This window comes from Homo sapiens, chromosome 1 (genome assembly GCF_000001405.40).
Source record: "Homo sapiens chromosome 1, GRCh38.p14 Primary Assembly".
NCBI lineage: Eukaryota > Metazoa > Chordata > Mammalia > Primates > Hominidae > Homo > Homo sapiens.
Genome location: NC_000001.11, coordinates 148,630,830 through 148,651,903, shown reverse-complemented (window position 1 = coordinate 148,651,903; position 21,074 = coordinate 148,630,830). Strand labels below are relative to the sequence as shown.

The window sequence follows — 21,074 nt, the reverse complement described above, 5'->3', positions numbered from 1 at the left end:
AAGCACTGGGCTCAAGAAAGCCAATACCCCTTCTAGGGCTTACCCCCCATTTTAAAATTTAATATATTGGAATTTATATTGTTTCTTTTGATCCGAGATCTTCAGGCTGAAGCTGGAGAGAAATCTTTTGACCTCTCTAGAACAAAGAAAGCCTTTATCAAAGACAATGTAACTTTTTGAGTTTGCCAAATTAGGTGTTGCTGCAAATGGAGAAACCTAGAGTTCTCTTCTGTGCTTAAAGACACAAACATGGAAAGTTTTAAGTTCCAATATGGTCACTTAATATATACAAAATTTTCTGTCTTTGCTGTCTTTGTCATTCCAGCAACAACTGGATGAGCAAATAGAATGATTGTGAGCACTTGCAAACCAAATTGTGACTGTTAGTGTGTTGAGCTGCTTTTTTATTAAAATGACTGCTACAACTCTGCAGAAATCTGAGTAGTCTTGAAGATAAATTCTTGCTTGCATTTACAATAAAGAAAGAATATGAGTAATCAAAAGGCTGATGGAGTTGGAGGACTGGCGTTTTTAAGAGGAACTGATTTGGACATTGAGATTATCAGCTCCTCATCAAATATCATTAAGTACACATTATTATTTTTTTCTGTTGACCAGGAGACCCAAGTTGTGTTGATGTGGGACATAGTTGTATGTCTGAAGAAACAAAGCAAGGGAGAATAAAATAAATAAAAATTGAAGTTCAGGAATATATATATATATATATATATATATATATATTTTTTTTTTTTTTTTTTTCTCAGGCAGAGTCTTGCTGTGTCGCCCAGGCTGGAGTGCAGTGGCACAATCTCGGCTCATTGCAAGCTCCGCCTCCCGGGTTCATGCCATTCTCCTGCCTCAGACTCCCTAGTAGCTGGGACTACAGGCACCCGCCACCATGCCCAGCTAATTTTTTTTTTGTACTTTTAGTAGAGATGGGGTTTCACCGTGTTAGCCAGGATGGTCTCGATCTCCTGACCTCGTGATCCGCCCACCTCGGCCTCCCAAAGTGCTGGGATTAAAGACATGAGCCACCGCGCCTGGCCGTTTAGGGCTATATTTTATGTTTTCTTCTCCCTTTGGTATTTAATAAAGATTTGATATTTTTCTATTATCTGCTTTCCTCTGTTCCAAGGTTTTTGGCCTCAGGTGTGTTCTCTGGAAATGGCAATGATAGGCATTTATAATCTCCATATTTAGATATTTCCCTCACAGTGCTAGTTTCTGAGCTTATTAGAACCTAATGTTAAATGACGAGTTAATGGGTGCAGCACACCAACATGGCACATGTATACATATGTAACAAACCTGCACGTTGTGCACATGTACCCTAAAACTTAAAGTATAATAATAAAAAAAAAGAAATATCCTGGCTATGAGTCAAGGGTTTAGGACCTTTTGAGGCACTTGGGTTTAGACAATTCTCAGTGATGTGTACAGGAATTTGGGTACAGGAATACTATTCACAGGTGAACAGAGTTTGATTTTGGCTGAAGGCATATTATTTGATCCAGATAATAATATAAAAATAATCCAAATGTTAGGACCTTAGCTTCTGCGAACCCTGACTTGAGAATAGTTAGCCATACATGTAGTTGGACTTTATGTAGGACTAACCAATCTCCTCTGCACTATTTTTGCACAGTACATTGATTATGGTATCCCTGATGACCTCTGTCCCCATCCTTGTGAGTAGCCTTCATTGCTACCACCCAAGGATGTTTTAAAAAGGCTATGAGGAAGGATGCATGTAGGGAAATCTGAGGTTGTTCTTTGGATTTTCCCTGTTTTGTTTTAGGAAGTATCCATGATTTTATATAATAATATGTAGCAATCTTAGGTTTTTCCATTTTCATTTTTAACATAATTTTGTTATTCATTCTGTTTGGGTGTCTACCTCTAAATTAACAAACATGAGAAATTGTGTACTCCATTTAAAAAGTGTCCTGAGCAATTTAAGCTAAAAGAATATGTTGTTTCTTTTGTGTGTATAGCAAGAAGATTATATATATTTATAAATTTTTTTCCAGCAAGTGTACTTAAAAGCATGTACTTAAAATTAAGGACTTAAAAAAACTAAGCTGTACTTAACAAAATAATCTTTAGAAAGCTTTAAGGCCGGGCGCGGTGGCTCACGCCTGTAATCCCAGCATCATGAGGTCAGGAGATCCAGACCATCCTGGCTAACACGGTGAAACCCTGTCTCTACTAAAAATACAAAAAAAATTAGCCGGTTGTGGTGGCGGGCACCTATAGTCCCAGCTACTCGGGAGGCTGAGGCAGGAGAATGGCGTGAACCCAGGAGGAGGAGCTTGCAGTGAGCTGAGATTGCGCCACTGCACTCCAGCCTGGGTGACAGAGCGAGACTCCATCTCAAAAAAAAAAAAAAAAAGCTTTAAAAAGGGAGTTTACTAAAAGCACAGGAAATTGGTGACAGGCAAAATTTGTCTTGATAATAGTACAAATACAGATAGTGGAACAGAACAGATAATACAAGATATAAGACAAGACATGGAATAACACTTCATATTCACTTTCTTTGACCACTAAGCAGCACACAAATATATAGCACTTTTTGTAGAGAATAATTAAATTTCTAGATATGATACAGCTTCTTCCTCTCTGTTGGGTTTTATTACACTGAGATCCTGAACCTTTTGGACATGTAAACTGTGATCATGTTGGTCAGTGTCATTTGGATCTCGTTGGTGCTTATTGTTCTGCCGATGTGTATTAGTGAACCTACTCATGGGGAAGATAATACTATACAATGAATTTTCCCATTCAGTTGGAATTTTTTTATTACTCTGTTTTCTATGTTTTTCATTTAGATGTAAATTATTTTGGCTTCCATTCAACCTATTTCAGCTAGTTTTTACCATAATACACATGGCTTAAGATTTATAGGAGGCTAAGAGTGGAGAGTGTATCTTCATTCAAACAAATGGTAAGAAAGGAACTTTCAAAACTGTTTTAGTTTTGCAAAGATTAGAAAAGTACAATTCTACTTTCTCAACTTTTCATCCTTGTTAAAGGCCTGGAAATTTGCAGCATTTTTTTCTTTCTTATTTTACTTTTCTAATTTGTTACACAAAGTGAAATTCCACACATAAACATGCAAGCTGAAGGTTGGGTTTATTCATAGGTTTTGTCTTAATTATAGATATTTAGTTTATTGAATATCTTATTGAGTATTGAGTACCTGCTGTGGTCCAGGCATCTTCTGAGGTCCCAGGTGTACAAAGAGGAGCCAATTGTGGTTACTGCCTCTATGGAATTTGCCTAGAAGTGGGAGAGAGAGAGATGAGTGAGCCAGCACTTATAATACATCTACCTAGGATAAAATGGGAGCACAGAAGAGGAACATCTGTATCAGTGGGTCTCTGAGAGCTTCTTCAGGAAAATAATGCTTTATCTGTGATTTGAAATATAGTAGGAATTTAGCAAGATAGAGAAAAAGGAAAAGGAGGTAAAATATTTTTCAGGTAAAAGAATGTACATGGGTATAGAGGTGATCATTATTAGCAAATTGGCTACATCCTAATTTGTAAGTATTTGTGGATTTTTCAAACCTTATATTTCATGTAGAAGAGCTGAATGCATTAGTCTCATCTCCAAGATCCAGGTATTGAAATTTAACCCATGCATAAATTGAATTTTTTTCTGAAGTCTTTAATAAGAGAAAAATAAAAGGAAAAACTACACAGTGTATAGTAGATTTCAATATAGCACAGCAAACACTGATGAATTTTTTTTGCAATGAGTTCAATATTATAAAATAGAACAAAATTGGAATTTTTAAAACCAAAAATTATTCTAGATTTATCAGCTAACTGGAATGATTTTTTTATAGTATGAAAAGTCTGTTAGTAATACAAAAAATATTCATTTATAAGTTGTTATCGTTGATTATATTTTCTTAAGGTATATTTTCAGTTTTTGAAAAGCAGTAATAATTTGCTATGACCCTATAGCCCAGTTCTTAATATCTGGATCTGATACTAGCATCTCTTAGGTAGAAAACACACTTTCTATATGATAATATCTGTAAAGAGCACATAAATCCTTGGAACACTATTAGGAAAACAAAATCGATTTATCTCTTATTGCTTTTTTTTGGTTTTTTTTTTTCCTTTTAATCAAGACAAATTTCAAGGAGGAAGACATGTTTCTCCGCTTCGTTTTTATTTAAATGTACCACTTGGGATTTGAAGCTTCCGCACTTCTTCTGTTTGTTTGGATTTTTTTTTCATGGCTTGATCCCAAAAAATGGAATACAAAATTTAGAGAAAGTTTTGTTTGAAATTGCAGGGCGCTATGAGAATTATTGCAAATCCCTGATGTCTCTTTGTCTGCCCTCAATTCTCCTATTTTTGGTAATAATGCAGGCAGTCATTTTAGAAAACTTTGCTTTGTTCATTTTACTGAGCCTCTTCCAGAGGCCATGTGCCAGAATCAACAGCAGCCAACCACAGCCAAGATCCTAGGGCGTAAACTCAGACTTCATCTCTCAAATATTGCTACTTGAAATTTGCATAAACATTGAAGAAAAAGTTAAAAGAGCCTGTATAACTCCTCTTCATGTATTTTAGGAGCCTCAGACAGTCAAGACATTAAAATACCTTCCGATTGAGCAGTGGGTCTAAGCACAGATACCACACTGCAGATAGGGAGAAGGATATGAAAAAAATCATGTGAGATAGACGACAGAGGCTTATTTGAAGAAGCTACAAAGCAACAAGTAATGCCAGTTTAAAACGATTACATGTTAATGCAACAAGTAAAACACATTGAAGGCTGCTCAGATTACACTGGCTGAAGTACAGACTTAATTACTCATGTTAGAGATTCCTAAAACAAAGGGAGGCTTTTAAGCCAGTGATATGTAGCTGGTATGATATTGAAAAGCATTGGAAAACCTAGGTAAATGCCTAGAGGAAATTTTAAGGAAGAGTCCATCAAGTCTGGATACCTTAGCCTTATCCTTAAATGAATAAATTTCTGAGGCGCTGGAACTGGTTAAAATCAATGGCAGCTTGTTCTGTTGTTGGCAGTTTTGATGTATAATTGGGGCTGATAAACCTGAATAAATAAAAGAGCCTTGTCTGGATTGAGTTACAGTTAGTGCTAAACATCAAGGGTTCCTATTGTATTTCTTAAAAGTTCTTTTTGGAGTGATTCCAAGATTGGTATTAAGAGGGTATGCCAAGGGTATATATTGGCAATTTTTATTTTGTTTGTATTTATCTTAGAGTCATTTGGGTAGGTCACATTCTCTCTGCCCCTACTCCCAACTTCTCATTAGATTGTAAGGACCATGAGGACAGAGATTGTTTGTTTTATTTGTGCTTAGTTTTCATGCAGTGCCTAGTAGGGGACAATGCTGACAGTAGTTTCTCGACAAATATTAGTGGAACTGTATTAAAATTGAGTTTTTGCTCACATATATTGTTTATTTTACCTTTAGTGGATCACTTCTCCTTATGCCTTCAGTGCTATAGTTTTTTAAAAGAAGTATGTTAGTCTGTTTTGCATTGCTCTAAAGGAATACCTGAGGCTGAATAATTTATAAAGAAAAAAGGTTTATTTGGCTAATAGCTTTGCAGATTGTACAAGAAGTTTAGAGCCAACATCTGCTTCTGGTGAGGGCCCAAAAAACTTTCGTGGCTGAAGGTGAAGAGGGAGCAGGTATGTAACATGGCAAGAGAGGAGGGAGCAAGAGAGATGTCAGTCTCTTTCAAACAACCAGCTCACATGGTAGCGAGAACTCACTCATTACTGTGGGTGGGCACCAAGCTATTCATGAGAGATCTGCCCCCATAACCTGAACACCTCCCAGTAGGCCCCACCTTCAACATTGGGGATTATGTTTCAACGTGAGATTTGGAAGGGACAAAATAGCCAAACTGTATCAAGCACAAAGAAGATACAGAGATAGTCAATGGTGGAGCTAGTATTCAAACCCAGATTTGTCTGATTTCTGCATCCATGCTTTCAACTGCTTAACTGCATTGCTTCAAATACTCAGAAAAGACGAAATGTTTTCCATATCCCAGGAACTTAAAAGTGAAAAAGCAGAGAGCTAGAAGACCCTGTAGTGCTGAATTGAGAGTCATGAGTGTTACAAGGATGGGTGGGGGGGTGGCCCTGTGAGGACCAGAACCCTCCAGGGGAAGCTTTCTGGGTGAGGCAAGAGGTGAACTGGGCCTTGAAGGAATGGGTAGAATTTAGATAGTAATGAGGAAGGCAGAAATCAGTGGAAACACAGACATGCATGGAGGAATGGAACTGAGTTCAATGACGATCTGTTCAGGAAAGAGGGCATAAACTGGGCAGAGAATGCAGTGGAAGTGGTGGGGAGTAATACTGGGCACGTAAGGTAAGCTCTGATCTGGAAGGCCAGCATGGGAGCCTAGACTGGTTAAAGTAAGAAATGGCTTGTCCTTGGAAGAAAAAGTGTCAAACTTGGTACTGTGTGAAGGTACTGCACAGACCTCCCAACTGGTTCTTAGGAGAGCCAAACTGAGGCTAAGTTCTGAGAACTAAGTAAGAACTGACAGCCATTGTAGGTTAGAAAGTAGTGGGGCAACATGTTACAAGTAGTGCTTCTGGAAGGTTAGATGCGGTTAGAATAAAATCATTGCCATTTTGGGGAGCTGGGAAAATGGATGTCTTCAGTCTAGTCTAAAAAGGGATGACTTGAATAAGCTTATATAAGAAAGAAAAGAAAAACCTTTTTACTCACTGGACCATTTCATAATCTTGACTTTTTTCAAACATAAATCTGTGTCATTTTTCTTATTTAAAACAGCTGAGCAGTTTACTCTCCTACTTAGAGCTGTGATCCTTATCATGGGCTCTTGTGATCTAACCCCAGCCTGCCTCCCTGGCCTCTGTCCTTGCTTAATAACCTCTAGCCATATGAACCTGGAATACCAGTCTAATTCCCACTTCAAGGCTTTTACACTTGTTGTTTCCTCTGCCTGGGGTGCTATTCCCTCATATCTTCATGACACTTGTTCATTTACATTGTAGCTCAAAGCATACCTCCTCAGGGAGGCCTTTCCTAGACACTATCTGAGGTACACTCCTGCACCCCCAGCCTTCATGATTGCTTTTTATACATTACTGGGTTTTGTTTCCAATGGAACTTATCGCTTATTACTGTCCTAAATTATTTTATTTATTAATTTTTTAGCCACCTTTCTCTTATAGAAATAAGGTTCCTGAGGACAGGGAGTTTATTCTGTATACTACGGTATCCCTGACATCAGGGCTTGTGCCTGCCGATAGTAGATGCTTTCTAAATATGTTCTGAATATTAGATAGCTAGTTCCCAAATGCACTGCACTGAAAGTGTATGAAAATTGGAAATTGGCTTCTAGATTTTTGTATTATATTGCCAAATGATGGAGTGATGAGATTGAAATCTACTACTTCTTTTTGCCTTTTTTTTTTTGGTGGAGTAGAGGAGGGCCTGCACAAACAGCAGATACACACACAGTAAATAAGATTTATTTCAGCCAGCAAGTATTTATTGACATGAAAATTGGGGTTAAATGTGACTCTTTGTGAGTGACTAGTTTCTTGGAGTCTATTAAAGCATCAGTTTAAACATCAATTCTCTATGGTATGATTAATGTTTCTTTTTTTACTTTATAAGCATGAAGCTGCCTTCAATTTTATTGTTAAATTTAAGTGTTTTACATTGGAAAAAAGTAAATTGAATTTTGAAATGAGGTCTGTCCCGGTCTCACTTTCATGGCTTCAGGTTATCAAAGTTTTAATTTCTCTTTGTATGGAAGATAATTATAGTATTCATTTTTGCTCCTGAGTAAAGCCACGAGTCTCAAGATTATTTTTCTTTTTTAAAAATTAGAATTGTCAGTTTATAGTTGTATACATTTATAGGGTACAAAGTGATGTTATAATTTGCTAATACAATGTAGAACAATTAAAAGGTAGGTAGTATATCCTTCATCTCAAATATTTAACATTTTTTGAAATTTACTCTCTTAGCAATTTTGAAATGTATAATACCCTATTATTAACTATATTCACCACACTATGCAATATATCTCAAACATATACAAAAAAATTCTTCTTGTGTAACTGTAGCTTTTTGTACCCATTGATCATCAGGCCCACAGCTTCCGTAACCACCATTTTCCTCTCTGCTTCTATGATTTTGATGGTTTTCAATTCTACATATAAGTGAGAACATGCTGTATTTGTCTTCCTGTGCCTTATTTCACTTAGCATAATGTTCTCCAATTCTATCCATGTTGTGTCAAATGACAGAATTTATATCTAAAGGTGGAATAGTATTCCATTTTATGTATCTACCACAGCTTTTTTTTTTTTTTTTTTTTTTTTTTTTTTTTTTTTTGAGATGGAGTCTCTCTCTGTCACTCAGGCTGGAGTGCAGTGGAGCAATCTCGGCTCACTGCAACCTCCGCCCCCCAGGTTCAAGTGATTCTCCTGCCTCAGCCTCCTGAGTAGCTGCAATTACTGGCGTGCTGTAATTTTTGTACTTTTAGTAGAGATGGGGTTTCATCATCTTGGCCAGGCTGGTCTTGAACTCCTGACCTCGTGATCCACCCGCCTCAGCCGCCCAAAGTGCTGGGATTATAGGCGTGAGCCACTGTGCCCGGCCTATCTACCACCTTTTATTTATCCATTCATCTGTTGATGGACACTTCCATAACTTGGTATGGGTGTACAGACATCTTTTCAATAAACTGATTTAAAATATCTGGGGTAAATACGCAGCAGTGGGATTACCAGATCATGTGGTGATTCTATTTTCAGTTTTTTGAGGAACGTCTGCACTGTTTTTCACAATGGTTGTACTAATTTACATTCCCATTAACAGAGTAGAAGGGTTCCATTTCTCCACATCCTGTTTATTCAGACGATATGTTATCATCTAAATCATCTAAGACCTCTATATTATATAGCTTTTGAGTATTTTTAAAAGTGGACACTCAAGCGTTCATATAGTCATAGTCAGTGTGTGGTTCCTCAGACCTGTGGTATCAACATCACCTGGGAATTTGTTAGGAATGCAGATTCCCAGGCTCCCTGCAGACTTAGTCAGAAATTGTGGGGGTCGAGTCTAACACTCTTTTTTAAAAAGCCCTCCAAGTGATTCCAATGCTTACTAAAGTTTGAGAACCGTGGCTCAGTAAATGCTAAAGGTTCAAGGTAGCATGATCCCACACATCAGCCAAGTGGCATTAATTATTAGCCTGGTAAGCCCACCTTCTTTTCAGTCACTGAGTTTGATTGGTTCACTAGGGCTAGGCTGTAAAGTTATTTGCTAGATTGATTGCTACATATTGACTTTGGGTTGTTTGTATTTCTCTGAACCTGTCACTGTAATGATTTGTCAGGACACTTAATAGGAACAGGCCGTGATTTTTGCACCCATGGCATTCTGAGTCATGGGTGGCTGGGTCATTATGTACTCCAGGTTTCTTCAGGCACTGGGCATGCCATTCATGTACTTATAAGGAGGGAGCTGTCGCTGGTGGATCACAGGGAACCTTTAGGGACATTTAGTTCGCTCTCAGCTTGGTACAGGTAGGGAAATTGAGCCCCCATGAAGTTGTGCTTTGCTTGCAGTTAGGGGTACAGACAGGATTTCAGGTCTCCTGAGTCCCTCCACTGCACCAGGATTCCTGCAGGGGGACAGAGCTACAGCTTTTTCTGTGCCTACAGGACATTCCTTTCCTACTGTGAGGGTTTTATTTATTTATTATTTTATTTAAAGAAAAAAAGTAAATAGAAAAAACCCCGGAAGTTCTCACTGAAACTAATAAAAGTGTCTAAAGAGAATGAAAAAATCAGTTTGAGAACTTTGGTATGGAGGAAATAACCTGACATTAACTGTTTTAATTATAGTTGTTGCATTGGGCTTATCAGTGTGGGAAGAGGGAGCATTTGAGCCTTACAGGGAAGTGGGATATGGACAACAAGATGACCCTCTTCCTGAATTTGCCTGTTTGGGCCTGCAGCCTGGTGACTCTTTGTGTGATCCCAACAGCTGTCATAGAGATGGGTTGGACTTTTACTGAGACCTGGGTCCTAGGCCCAGCACTGCCACCAGCTAGTGGCGCGATGCCCCGTAAAGAGGCCACTTATTCTCTCTGGCCTCTACTATTGGTAAATGGGTATAATAATATCCACCCTGCCAATCCTGAGAAATTTCAGGTAGTGGGAAGCAGTGTATCTTGGTGGTTAAGGGCAGAGTCTCTGGATTCAAATTCTAGCTTTCTAACTCACTGGCATGGCAGTAGGCAGGCCACTTATCCTCCCTGTTTTCTCACCTGAGAATGGGTATAATGAAATTTACTTCTAAGGGTTGTTGTGAAGATTGAATTAGTTAGCTAATTTATGTAAAGTACTTAGGATAGTGCCTGGTATTTAGTAAGTTCTATGTGTTAGCCTATTATTATTACTATTACCATTTAAAAATACTATTTCAAGGATGGGATGCATTTTCTGTAAACATGTTCTCAAATGATTCTACTACTGGATACAATACTGGGCTTTTATGCAGTAATTGTTGTTGGAGGAGTTGTTCTGACATCCAGCTTGCACCTGGGCTACTGGTTTCGTGGCCAGGGATGGCCAGGCCTAGCGTCTCTGATCTTGCACAATTTATGCATAGAGTGGTGTGGTTAGAGGAAACTTGGAGGGGGGAACTTCTCAGTTTTGCTTTCAGGTATTTATACATTAACTATCATAAGAGATGGACATCTTAATAACTTCCAAGAAAGAGTTCATGAGCTTCAATTTGATATTTATTGTTTGACTAGGTTTCTTTCTGTCTTACCTTTCCAGTTGTTAGGGTTCTTGATATGTATTTTGGTGATGAAAATTTCAACTCTAAAAGCTAAACAATCAAGATATTGTAATTATCCAGCAAGTGATTAGCAGATTTCGAGTAGACTTCTTCCATTCTTGGCTGAAATCAATGAAAATGTCTACTATTGCTGTTGTTTTTGTTCTTTTCTCTGAAAAGTCTGTTTTTGGGAGGGCCTGAGATGGTAAAGTGCCTTTTTATTGTCTCTTAAAGGGAATGGGGGAATCAACAGTTTGAGAATTTTTGTTTTATCTGTATGTATAAAATTGCCTTCTCCTTTTATTTCTTTTGATACTCTCTCTGCAGTCTCTATTCATGATCTACTCCCCATCTTTTTATGGGCCCCTTAAAGCTAGAGATTATGTTTATTCGTTTATTTATGTATTCCATTTCTCCTTTTTTCTGGATCCTAATTTTGTGCCTGGTGCATACTAGGCTCTCAATTTTAGTTTGTCGAATTACTGTTATTGCTGTTTCTGATTACTTCTTGAAGCGGTCTGTTTTAAAACTTCACCTGAAGGCTAAGTAATTCATCAGTATAATGGTGATCTATTATTTATCTAGCATTTTCCTAAACACTCATTGATGAATCCTTATAATACTCATCTGAAGTATCTAAATCCCAAGATGATGTGTCATGTCATAGATGGTATGGCTTTAATTTTTAATTGGGAGATGGAGATGTAACAGCTGGAGATACTGAAACACAGAGAAATAAGAGCATGATTCAAGACCACAAACGTGGTTATTGTTGGAAGATAGTTTTGGGATGGGCTTCTGTGCTAGAAGCCAAAACATAAAAAACTGATTAAAACTCTAAAAAGAAACCCAGATTAGGTGGGAATGAATGCTGATCTGGATTGGATTACACTTCTTTGGTGTCTGAGGGTTATGATTAGTGACTTACTTCTAATGTGCATTTGTTTTTATTTTTGGCATTGCAGTGTCGAGATGGCTATGAACCCTGTGTAAATGAAGGAATGTGTGTTACCTACCACAATGGCACAGGATACTGCAAGTAAGTTTTTCTCTTCATATATTTTCTTTTTGCGATAGAACACTGGACAAGATTTGATTCTACTCCTCTATTTTTAATGCTTCTGTGGAATGTTACTGGTTCTTGAGCTTTCCTGGTACAGATTTTGGTTGGGGGTGAGGATGGAAGGATGTGGATGCCAGATAATTGGCTAATAAGAACTTCTTACTATCTTACTGTTATCTTTCTCACTATGAAAAAGACTTTTCAGTGAGTGGCTAGTTAATGTATATGGGGTAGACCAGGCATGGTGGCTCATGCTGGTAATCCCAGCACTTCAGGAGGCTGAGTTGGGCGAATCACGAGGTCAGGAGTTCAAGACCAGCCTGGCCAACATAGTGAAACCCTATCTCTACTAAAAATACAAAAATTAGCCGGGTGTGGTGGCGCATGCCTGGAGTCCCAGCTACTCAGGAGGCTGAGGCAGGAGAATGACTTGAACCCAGGAGGCGGAGGTTGCAGTGAGCTGAGACCACATCATTGCACTCTAGCCTGGGTGACAGAGCAAGACTCCGTCTCAAAAAGAAATAAAAAAAAATAAAAAAATGTATATTAGATTCCCTTGTGTTTTTCAGATTAAGGAATACTCTTAGAGTCTCCCCTTAACATGTTACCTATTATCTTGTTTTTAAGTAAAACCAAATAGATATCAACTTTAATATTCGGCCCAGTATATGTGAATATTATATTCATATTTTTTTCTAGTGTAAAAAATCTAATTCTGAAAGTGAGACAGTGAGAGAGGAAGATGTGTGCATATGTGTAGATTGAGGGGGAGCAGGGGCTTTGGGTGTGTATTATTATATGGGGATAAAAGAGTAAGGATGAAGGAAAATGTAGGCTAGTTCTTGGCTTAAGAGCATTTTTTTTTTCCTTTTTCTCCAACCATCTACTCTAGCCAAGACGTTTTGTTTGTTTGAGGAAGGCTGTGAGATAATTTCATAATAGCTTTTCTAGGTTTCCTGCAAATAATTTTTTTTCTTCTGCCTCAATTGAAAATTTTTAAGAGGAATATGTATCCATTCTGTTTATTTCAGGGAAGATGCTGGAGAAATAAAATTTGGTAATATGAAATTTCTCTTCTTTTCCTTCATTTTTGTGAGGAGTAGTTCTTCTTTGCTTTGGTGGAGGTACTTGCTTAGTAAGCATTTTAAGTGAGTTTATCCAACACATTTTTATTTCTTACCAGGAATGTAATTACAACTTTTTTCCAGTGAGATCTGTTCTGACACTAGGATTTAGTTTTTTAATGTTATAAACAAGATTTTTTTTTCAAGTCAGAAATAATTTTCTTCACTAAAGTGAAAATTAAGCTGTGATGACAGTAAAGCTTAACAATAGGTTGTTTGGATTGGAGTAAAGATAACATTGGAAATAAAGGTTTTATGTAGCTTATTATGGGCTGCTCATTTAGTTTTTCTAGCTGGGGGAAAAAAAACATGTGGTGCATTCTCCTCTAAGAATGGAGATACAACTGGAGATAATAAGGGAGGGAACTTAATACCTTAGAGTAGGCCACTGAAATCTTGTTTAGTCTTTTTGTGGCATTTGGTGCCTTAGTTGCTTGCTTTATTCTGTTATGCAACTCTTGTGGTAGTTAACCCCATTGCATTATGGTCATTTGTTGATGTGTTTCTTTTGCTAGAATGTGAGGTCTTAGTCTTATGCATTTTTTGCATAGTTAATGCCTATTACAGTGCCTGGTGTAGTTATTGTTCAGCAATGTGTTTCTTAAACTAAAAGGTGCTAAGTAGATACCGTCATGCACATGTTTCTTATCTATTTATGTTAAATAAGAAGACACTGGTTCTCTCCTTTAAAAATTTCAGTGTGGCGATTCCTCAAGGATCTAGAACCAGAAATACCATTTGGCCCAGCAATCCCATTACTGAGTATATACCCAAAGGATTATAAATCATTCTGCTATAAGGACACATGCACATGTGTGTTTACTTCAGCACTATTTACAGTAGGAAAGACTTGGAACCAACCCAAATGCCCAACGGTGATAGACTGGATAAAGAAAATGTGGCATGTATACACGATGGAATAGTATGCAGCCATAAAAAAGAATGAGTTAATGTCCTTTGCAGGGACATGGATGAAACTGGAAGCCATCATTCTCAGCAAACTAACACAGGAACAGAAAACCAAACACGGCATGTTCTCACTCATAAGTGGGAGTTGAACAATGAGAACACATGGACACAGGGAGGGGAACATCACACACTGGGGCCTGTCAGGGGGTGGGGGGAAAGGGGAGGGAGAGCATTAGGATGAATACCTAATGCACGTGGGGCTTAAAACCTGGATGACGGGTTGATAGGTGCAGCAAACCACCATGGCACATGTATACCTATGAAACAAACCTGCACATTCTGCACATGTATCCCAAAACTTAAAAGCAAAATTTAAAAAAAATTTATGTATTTCACATAGCATTCAGGGTGGTAATACCATACAGAGAGGCAAATTGGTTCTATTTGAAGATCATTCAACTTGGTGACTTATATATGGAGAATTTCAAATATGTTCTAAGTGTTCGCCTATATATTTTTGGTCTGACATGGGGAGAGAAGGTTTCTAGGGGAGACTAATCTCTGAGCACTTACCAGGAGAGGACACCTAAGGGTCACTGTTGGGAAGAAGTCCAATAGTTCTTTGTTGGACTGTTGGGCTGCTAGTCTCATACTCTCCAACCAAGGTTGGAGACCATCCTGGCTAACACGGTGAAATCCCATCTCTACTAAAAATGCAAAAAATTAGCTGGGCGTGGTGGCACGCACCTGTAATCCCAGTTACTCAGGAGGCTGAGGCAGGAGAATGGCCTGAAACCAGGAGGCAGAGCTTGCAGTGAGCCAAGATTGCACCACTGCACTCCAGCCTGAGCGACAGAGCGAGACTGTGTCTCCAAAAAAAAAAAAAAAAAAGAAAATGGAGCTGCCTAAATTCTGTCCCTGGCTACTTGTTAATTGTTGATAGGATGGAATGCTTATGGATACAGTTCTGGGTATGTCCCTCAGATGTCTTTCCTGTTTTGAGGGAAACAAACTCCTTGAGAGAAAGAAAAAATTTGGTGAGGCCATCCTTTTGGGAGATCAAGATGAACAACAAAACTTGTATAAAGAGAGTGATTCCCTACCTCAGCAAAAGTAATATTAGCATATTTAGGAGTGGCAGGGTCAACATAAGTGGACAAAGAAAAAGCAAGAACAATATCAAGGCAGCCATGTCAATCATTCTACAGTGCTTTGCCAGCCTCCACAGAATTTTAAGCAAAATTTTATGCAAAAGTAATGTGTACCTAGCAGAGCTTTCAGTGTATTTTCACCAACCTTACCTTTTTTTCTGTGGAGAAAGAAGATGATCTAGCTTGTTCAGTAAATATTATTTTCACAAAATAGAAAATAAATATTAAAACACTTAGAAGATTTATAAAAATTCTATCAGGCATGCAGGGCATGTGATTATCTTTTTATTCATGCGATTGCTTAGTGGATTAAGAAAAGAAAGTTGAAGCCAAATTCCTTTTACAGGGCCAGCGTGGGGGTGAGTGGTGAGTGGTGGGATGGGAACTGGTAGAAAGTGTTTTAAAATAGAAGGAATCTGACTATCTGTTTAGACAGCATAATGCTACTGATTCAGCTAAAATATAATGATTGTTTATAGAAATTATAAAAATCCTTGATAAGATCACATTGACAGATGAAGATAACTACTTTTGAAGATTAGTTTTGTACTCAGCTCCACTGTTTTTTCTCACTGTTAGGAGCCTAAGTACCCTATCAGTCTGTGATTAGATTTTGATGCCAGATTAGGAGAACGTGTATAATCTTGCATAAAACTCAATTATTGCTGTTAAATAACTACTGTCAAATCTTAATAAAGCCCTCTCACTACAGGGAGATAAGATATTTTATTCTTTCCCTTGTCCTACTGGGAGGTGTAAATATGTAATTAAATTTGATGTCATTAATCACTTTCAAGTTGTTTGCTTCAGACTTTCAAATATAAACCATTCTAAATCCCAATTTGATTAAAGATCATGGACAACTCAAGTTCACTAGGATTCTGGGGGTAGGTTAGGTTATGATTTGTATAATTGACAAAATATGTATTTTAAGGACATTTATTGTAGTTATTTAAAATCTTTGTCTGCTGGTTCTTAACATCTGGGTTGTCTATGGATGTGTTTCTGTTTCTATCAACTGCTCCTTCTTTGGACCATGGGTATGACTTCCCTTTACTTTACACATGTATGGTAGTTTTACATTACTTACTGGACATTGTGGGTGATAGATTTTAAAGTTTATCTCCCACTAAAGAATGTTGAATTTTGTCAAGATTGGCAGATCATCTTGATCCTATGGATGCTAGGTTTTAGGACACGTTAGGGTGGGCCTACTTCTGTTCTGCCCTTAGTCCGATGACACAAATCTTAGTCATGGGATAGGGCTCTTATTCCCAAGATGTGACCCTTCTAGGGGTTCAGTGGAAAGTGTGAGGGGCCTACCAAGCCCTGAGGTGTTCATTAAGCCCCTCTAAGGCAGAACTTGTCCTCCCAGCCCCAGGAGCCTTCTGCTCAGTCTTTTCAGCCGTCCAGCTCTTACTTTCTCTTGGGTTTCTGAATCTTATCTTGCTCATGCATAGTCAGGAATTATTTAAGGATTTGAGCAGAGTTGTATGCATACTTTGAAGCTACCCACTCTGTGGTTCTGTCTTTTCCAGGAATTTTTCTCCTCATATTCTAGCTGCTGTGACAGCTCCAGATACCTCTGACTCCTCAGTATCGCAGGACTTCCGTTTTCTGCTTGCACACTCTTCCTCTTCTGCTGCATGAACTGGGGTGTACCTTCACGATAAAAAAAAAACAAAAACAAAACTGTAAATGTGGGTTTCATATAGTTTGCTTCGCTTTTTCTGAGGCTTATATCCCTTCTAGTTTATGCCTGCTTTCAGTGATTCTCCAGTGCCTTTGATATTTTGTCCAGAGCAAGAGGGCTAGTCTGATATAAGTTACTCTGCAATTATTTTTAATGATGAAAATTGGAAATATAAAGGGGCCTTTCAGAATTTCATACATACCACTTGGTAAATATCTAACATAGTGTTTGTAAAACAGCAGAAAGTCACCGTGAGTTGTATACGTTCCTGTAGATGGGTGCTTGCATTTGAGAATGTCCACTTTTTGCTAAAGTGCTGATCTAAAAACTACACTTTAAGGTAAATTATTATAAATATAAAGTGTTATAAAATATAACTTTGTGTCACATTTTGTCTAAAACTTGTCTGCTAGCTGTAATAAACATTAAACATTAACAGCTAACAATTCTCCTTGCCAGGATTAGGCAGTCATGTTGGTGGTCCAGATTTCCTGAATCCATCCAAGAAAAACTAGAGCCATTGCCTTCTTTGTCTTCTTGGTAAATGTCTGTATAGTAAGTAGAGAGTAGAGACACTCATAATCCCTTAGAACTTAGCTTTTTATGGAGGATGCATTCGCAATGTTTCTGTTGTGGTGCTTCTCCCCCAAAAAGGCGTTTTCAGAAGTCATGGCTGACTCAGCATTTCCCCCTTTCCTTCACCTTCTTGTGAGTGCATTCAGGGAGGCACAGGGGCATTGTCAGATCAAAGAAATAGACAGGGAAAAATATCAACTGTTAAATTACTTTCTCTTTCGTCTCAGCTGAAACTGGTTCTGCCAGCCTAGTTCCTTCAAGTACGGTGCCTATTTAGCTGAACATTGTGTATATAGTTTTTCTGGAAAATGATAGCAGAAGCTTGGCCAGTTTTCCATAGTTCATTTATCTTTTTAACATAAAACAAAGAATGCTGTTTTTTTGGCTCATTAAATACCTCTCATAGAGTAATCTTTTCTTAAAATGTAATATGTTCAGGTTTTATTAATTCAAGAGTTATTTATTGCATGCTATTTATGCGTACCACATATAACAGATAACTCAAGTCTGTGGTAGTAGTTGCAGTTAATCAATATTGTTATCATATTATTTCACACTTCTTTGGGAAGTCATAAAATAATTACCAGTTCATTAACTTGGGCTTCTTAGAGAGGTTCAGAGTAAAGCCAAGTATGAAAAAAACTGACTATAATGTGGCCTTCTGTACAGGGGCCACCAGTGAATGGCAGGGCTGGGACCATGGTGAGGCAAGTAAGGCACAGGCCTCTCTTGTGAAATTTAAGAGAGTGCCAAAAAACTCACTAATCAAAATAATGTTTGTATGTAGTTGTTCAAAAAATCAAAATTAATGCAAAATAAGTTGAAAATTATCAAAATTTTAAATAAGGAGATCAGTAGTACTGATTTTTTCTTTTGCCTTATGACCTAGTATGGTTCAGCCTGCACTGGTGAGTGGAGTAAGGGTCCTGGAAGATCCTTGACTGGTGACATGAAGAGGACATAGTTTTTTGTTGTTGTTTTTTTTTGAGACAGAGTCTCGCTCTGTGGCCCAGGCTGGAGTGCAGTGGCGCTTTCTTGGCTCACTGCAAGCTCCGCCTCCCGGGTTCATGCCATTCTCCTGCCTCAGCCTCTCAAGTAGCCGGGACTACAAGCGCCCGCCACCACGCCCGGCTAATTTTTTGTATTTTTAGTAGAGACGGGGTTTCACTGTGTTAGCCAGGATGGTCTCTATCTCCTGACCTCATGATCTGCCCGCCTCGGCCTCCCAAAGTGCTGGGATTACAGGCGTGAGCCACCACGCCCAGCTGAGGACATAGGTTTTTTTTATGCCAGATAGACTTAAGTTTGAGTCCTGATTCCTATTAACAATTGGATCTTTGGCAAGTTAAAGTCTATAATGCTAGCTAACATTATTGCGTATTAGGGTCTGTTCTCAATTTGAAAGTATACAAAAAGGGGACTTTTCAGATCAGGAATATGATTAAAACACTGCTTTATGTAATTTCTAAATTTAAAGACAGTAGCATTAGGTAGGCCTGAGTACCTCATATCATTCTAGAACACTAAATCTGCATATAGTTACATGAGTGTACATGGGCCAGGTTTGGTGAATACTGCATTTCTGAGAAATGGCCTTTAACATGAAAGCTCAGTGTAATAACTGTGGATGAAATAGAAGAAGAGGGCAGTGAAGGTGGGGATAGAGGATATTGTCTATTAAAGTGTGCTTCAGTAGAGAGAACTAATTTGAAACTTCTCCTTTCTTTTTACTAATGGAACAGGAGCAAGTCCAGACAGATTTATGCAGTTGTGAAATTGAGACAGGTTAAATTCAGTGATTTTTGATAAATGTTGTTGCCAGCACAAAAGTCACAAGTTGTTGAATATGGCACCTTACATTTGCATAGTGAGTTACAGATGCATAGGAGTATGTCCTGTGAGGCTTTTCCTTGTATTAGGACTTGAGATCTGGACCCTTTAACAGTACCATTCCTAAGTGATTCTTATTAATACTTATGTCCTATTAAAATCCTTTATCAAATATGATGTTTCCCTAAGGGGTCTTTTGTAAAGGAAGTCTTGGTTACTAGCATCTCCATCTGTGGCCCAGGCTTGAGTGCAGTAGAGCAATCATGGATCACTGCAGCCTCCACCTCCTAGGCTCAAGCCATCCATCCTCCTGCCTCAGTCTCCCATTTTTAAAACTTTTTATAGAGACACGGTCTCACATGTTGCTCAGGCTGGTCTCGAATTCCTGGGCTCAAGTGACCCTCCCACTTCTGCCTCCCAAAGGGCTGGAATTACAGGCCTGAACCACTGTGCCTGGCCAGTTAGTAGCTTCTTAACACATAGCAACATAATTTCCATACTATTTTCAACTAATTTTTATTCTTTCAGTTGGGACCTTTATATATTTCAGTGTTCAGTGAAGAAGTAGGAGAATCTGGTTCTTAGGCTCTGCCTATATCCTTTTACCTGTCTTGGGTAACTGCCAAGAAATTAAATCAACAAATTTTGGCCTGCAGTCTGGCATTAATAGATGTGAATTTAGCTAGGTTTCTTTCAACACAGTCTCCAGGTCAATCGTAATCTTATGTGAAGTTTCTTATTCAGGCATGTCTCGTTAGCACCATTAATTTCACACAGGAATTCTTTTTTTCTCCCTTTTTTTGTGACTAAGCAAAATGAGAAATATTTCTCTTTCAGGATATGGAGAGGCTTAATTAAATTCTTTAATTTTGTCTACATCTGCCCTTATGAATGATAGCAAAGGAATGGGGGATATCAGAATATGAGAAAAAGTAATCATCTAAAAATTTCCAAGCACTTTAAAATTTATTAAGCTAGCATAAATATGTGGGTGTGATAGAGGTTTTCATTAGGCCTCCTCTCAACATACAGTAGTTAGGAATGAAGTTTAGTGTCTCTCCGTCCTCCTGTCATATGTGTGTATGCACACATGTGTGCACATGCGACTGTGTTATGCATTTTGTTTTCATATTTCTTTTAGTTGAGTTTTACCTTACAACCCAACGTAAGGTAAATTAAAATTTCTATTGGATTTCCGCACATTTTCTAGATCCTATTTATTCACTGTCAGTGACCTTCACTAGCACTTAGTCCTCTGTGTCCAAAAATGTATTGCCAATTCTTAGACTCCATCAGCCTTCTCCTATGAAAAAGTAATGCAGTTAATTTCTGCTCGAAATGCTCTTCTCCTAAACAGTCTTCTACTTGATCTTTATGAAAAGAGTTTTATGAAAGAAAAGTGAAAATAAAGACTAAGAAAGGCATTATTTAAGTGATGGGTGATATTATTCAGCGAACACATTCAACTAGAGCATTCTATCCAGTTTTTTGCCTTCACGTAAATATGAGGAGAAAGGTAGGTGTTAATAAGAAAATAATCTGATTAGGATTTATGTAGAATGGTAGCATTTAGGGTATTAAATCTGTATAGATTCAGGTCATTTTCCTGCAGTCACTGTCTATAATCCTGTGTGCTGAACACTGAAAGTTAGATGGACTCTGAAGCACTATAGAATCCTCACTTTTCAAACAAAAGTTTAATTTTTATCACACTAGTATTTATTGAGCAGGCTACTATAACTGATCACTGTACTGGGTATTGTGAATAGACAGAAAAGCCCAAGAGGCCTGTATTACCTGACTTCTTTATTCACAAGTATACGTACCCAGAGACTGTCTGACAGTGAATGCAGTTTCTCCTGCATAAGACATGGTGGCA

At 38.1% G+C, this 21,074-nt stretch overlaps 1 protein-coding gene across 13 annotated transcripts in view, besides 1 other annotated feature; it reads left to right on the top strand.

Moving 5' to 3' along the window:
* The window catches only part of NOTCH2NLB (notch 2 N-terminal like B), a 112,254-nt gene that overhangs the window by 60,635 nt on the left and 30,545 nt on the right, over positions 1–21,074 (top strand). For 7 of the 13 annotated variants that reach the window (XM_047420744.1, NM_001395234.1, NM_001364008.2 and 4 more), the window contains one exon: positions 11,815–11,888. In XM_047420744.1, coding sequence (XP_047276700.1) covers positions 11,815–11,888 — 74 coding nt within the window. Of the gene's footprint in view, positions 1–1,055; positions 9,586–11,806; positions 11,889–21,074 lie in introns of those variants that run through there. The other 6 variants (NM_001364007.2, XM_047420702.1, XM_047420672.1 and 3 more) reach the window with 2 other exon arrangements.
* Positions 4,455–5,084: an enhancer, noted in NCBI's record as "NANOG hESC enhancer chr1:145241463-145242092 (GRCh37/hg19 assembly coordinates)". NCBI's record gives its function as "activates a minimal SCP1, AML or CMV promoter by ChIP-STARR-seq in naive H9 embryonic stem cells {active_cell/tissue: H9 hESC(naive)}" and the evidence as "EXISTENCE:reporter gene assay evidence [ECO:0000049][PMID:30033119]".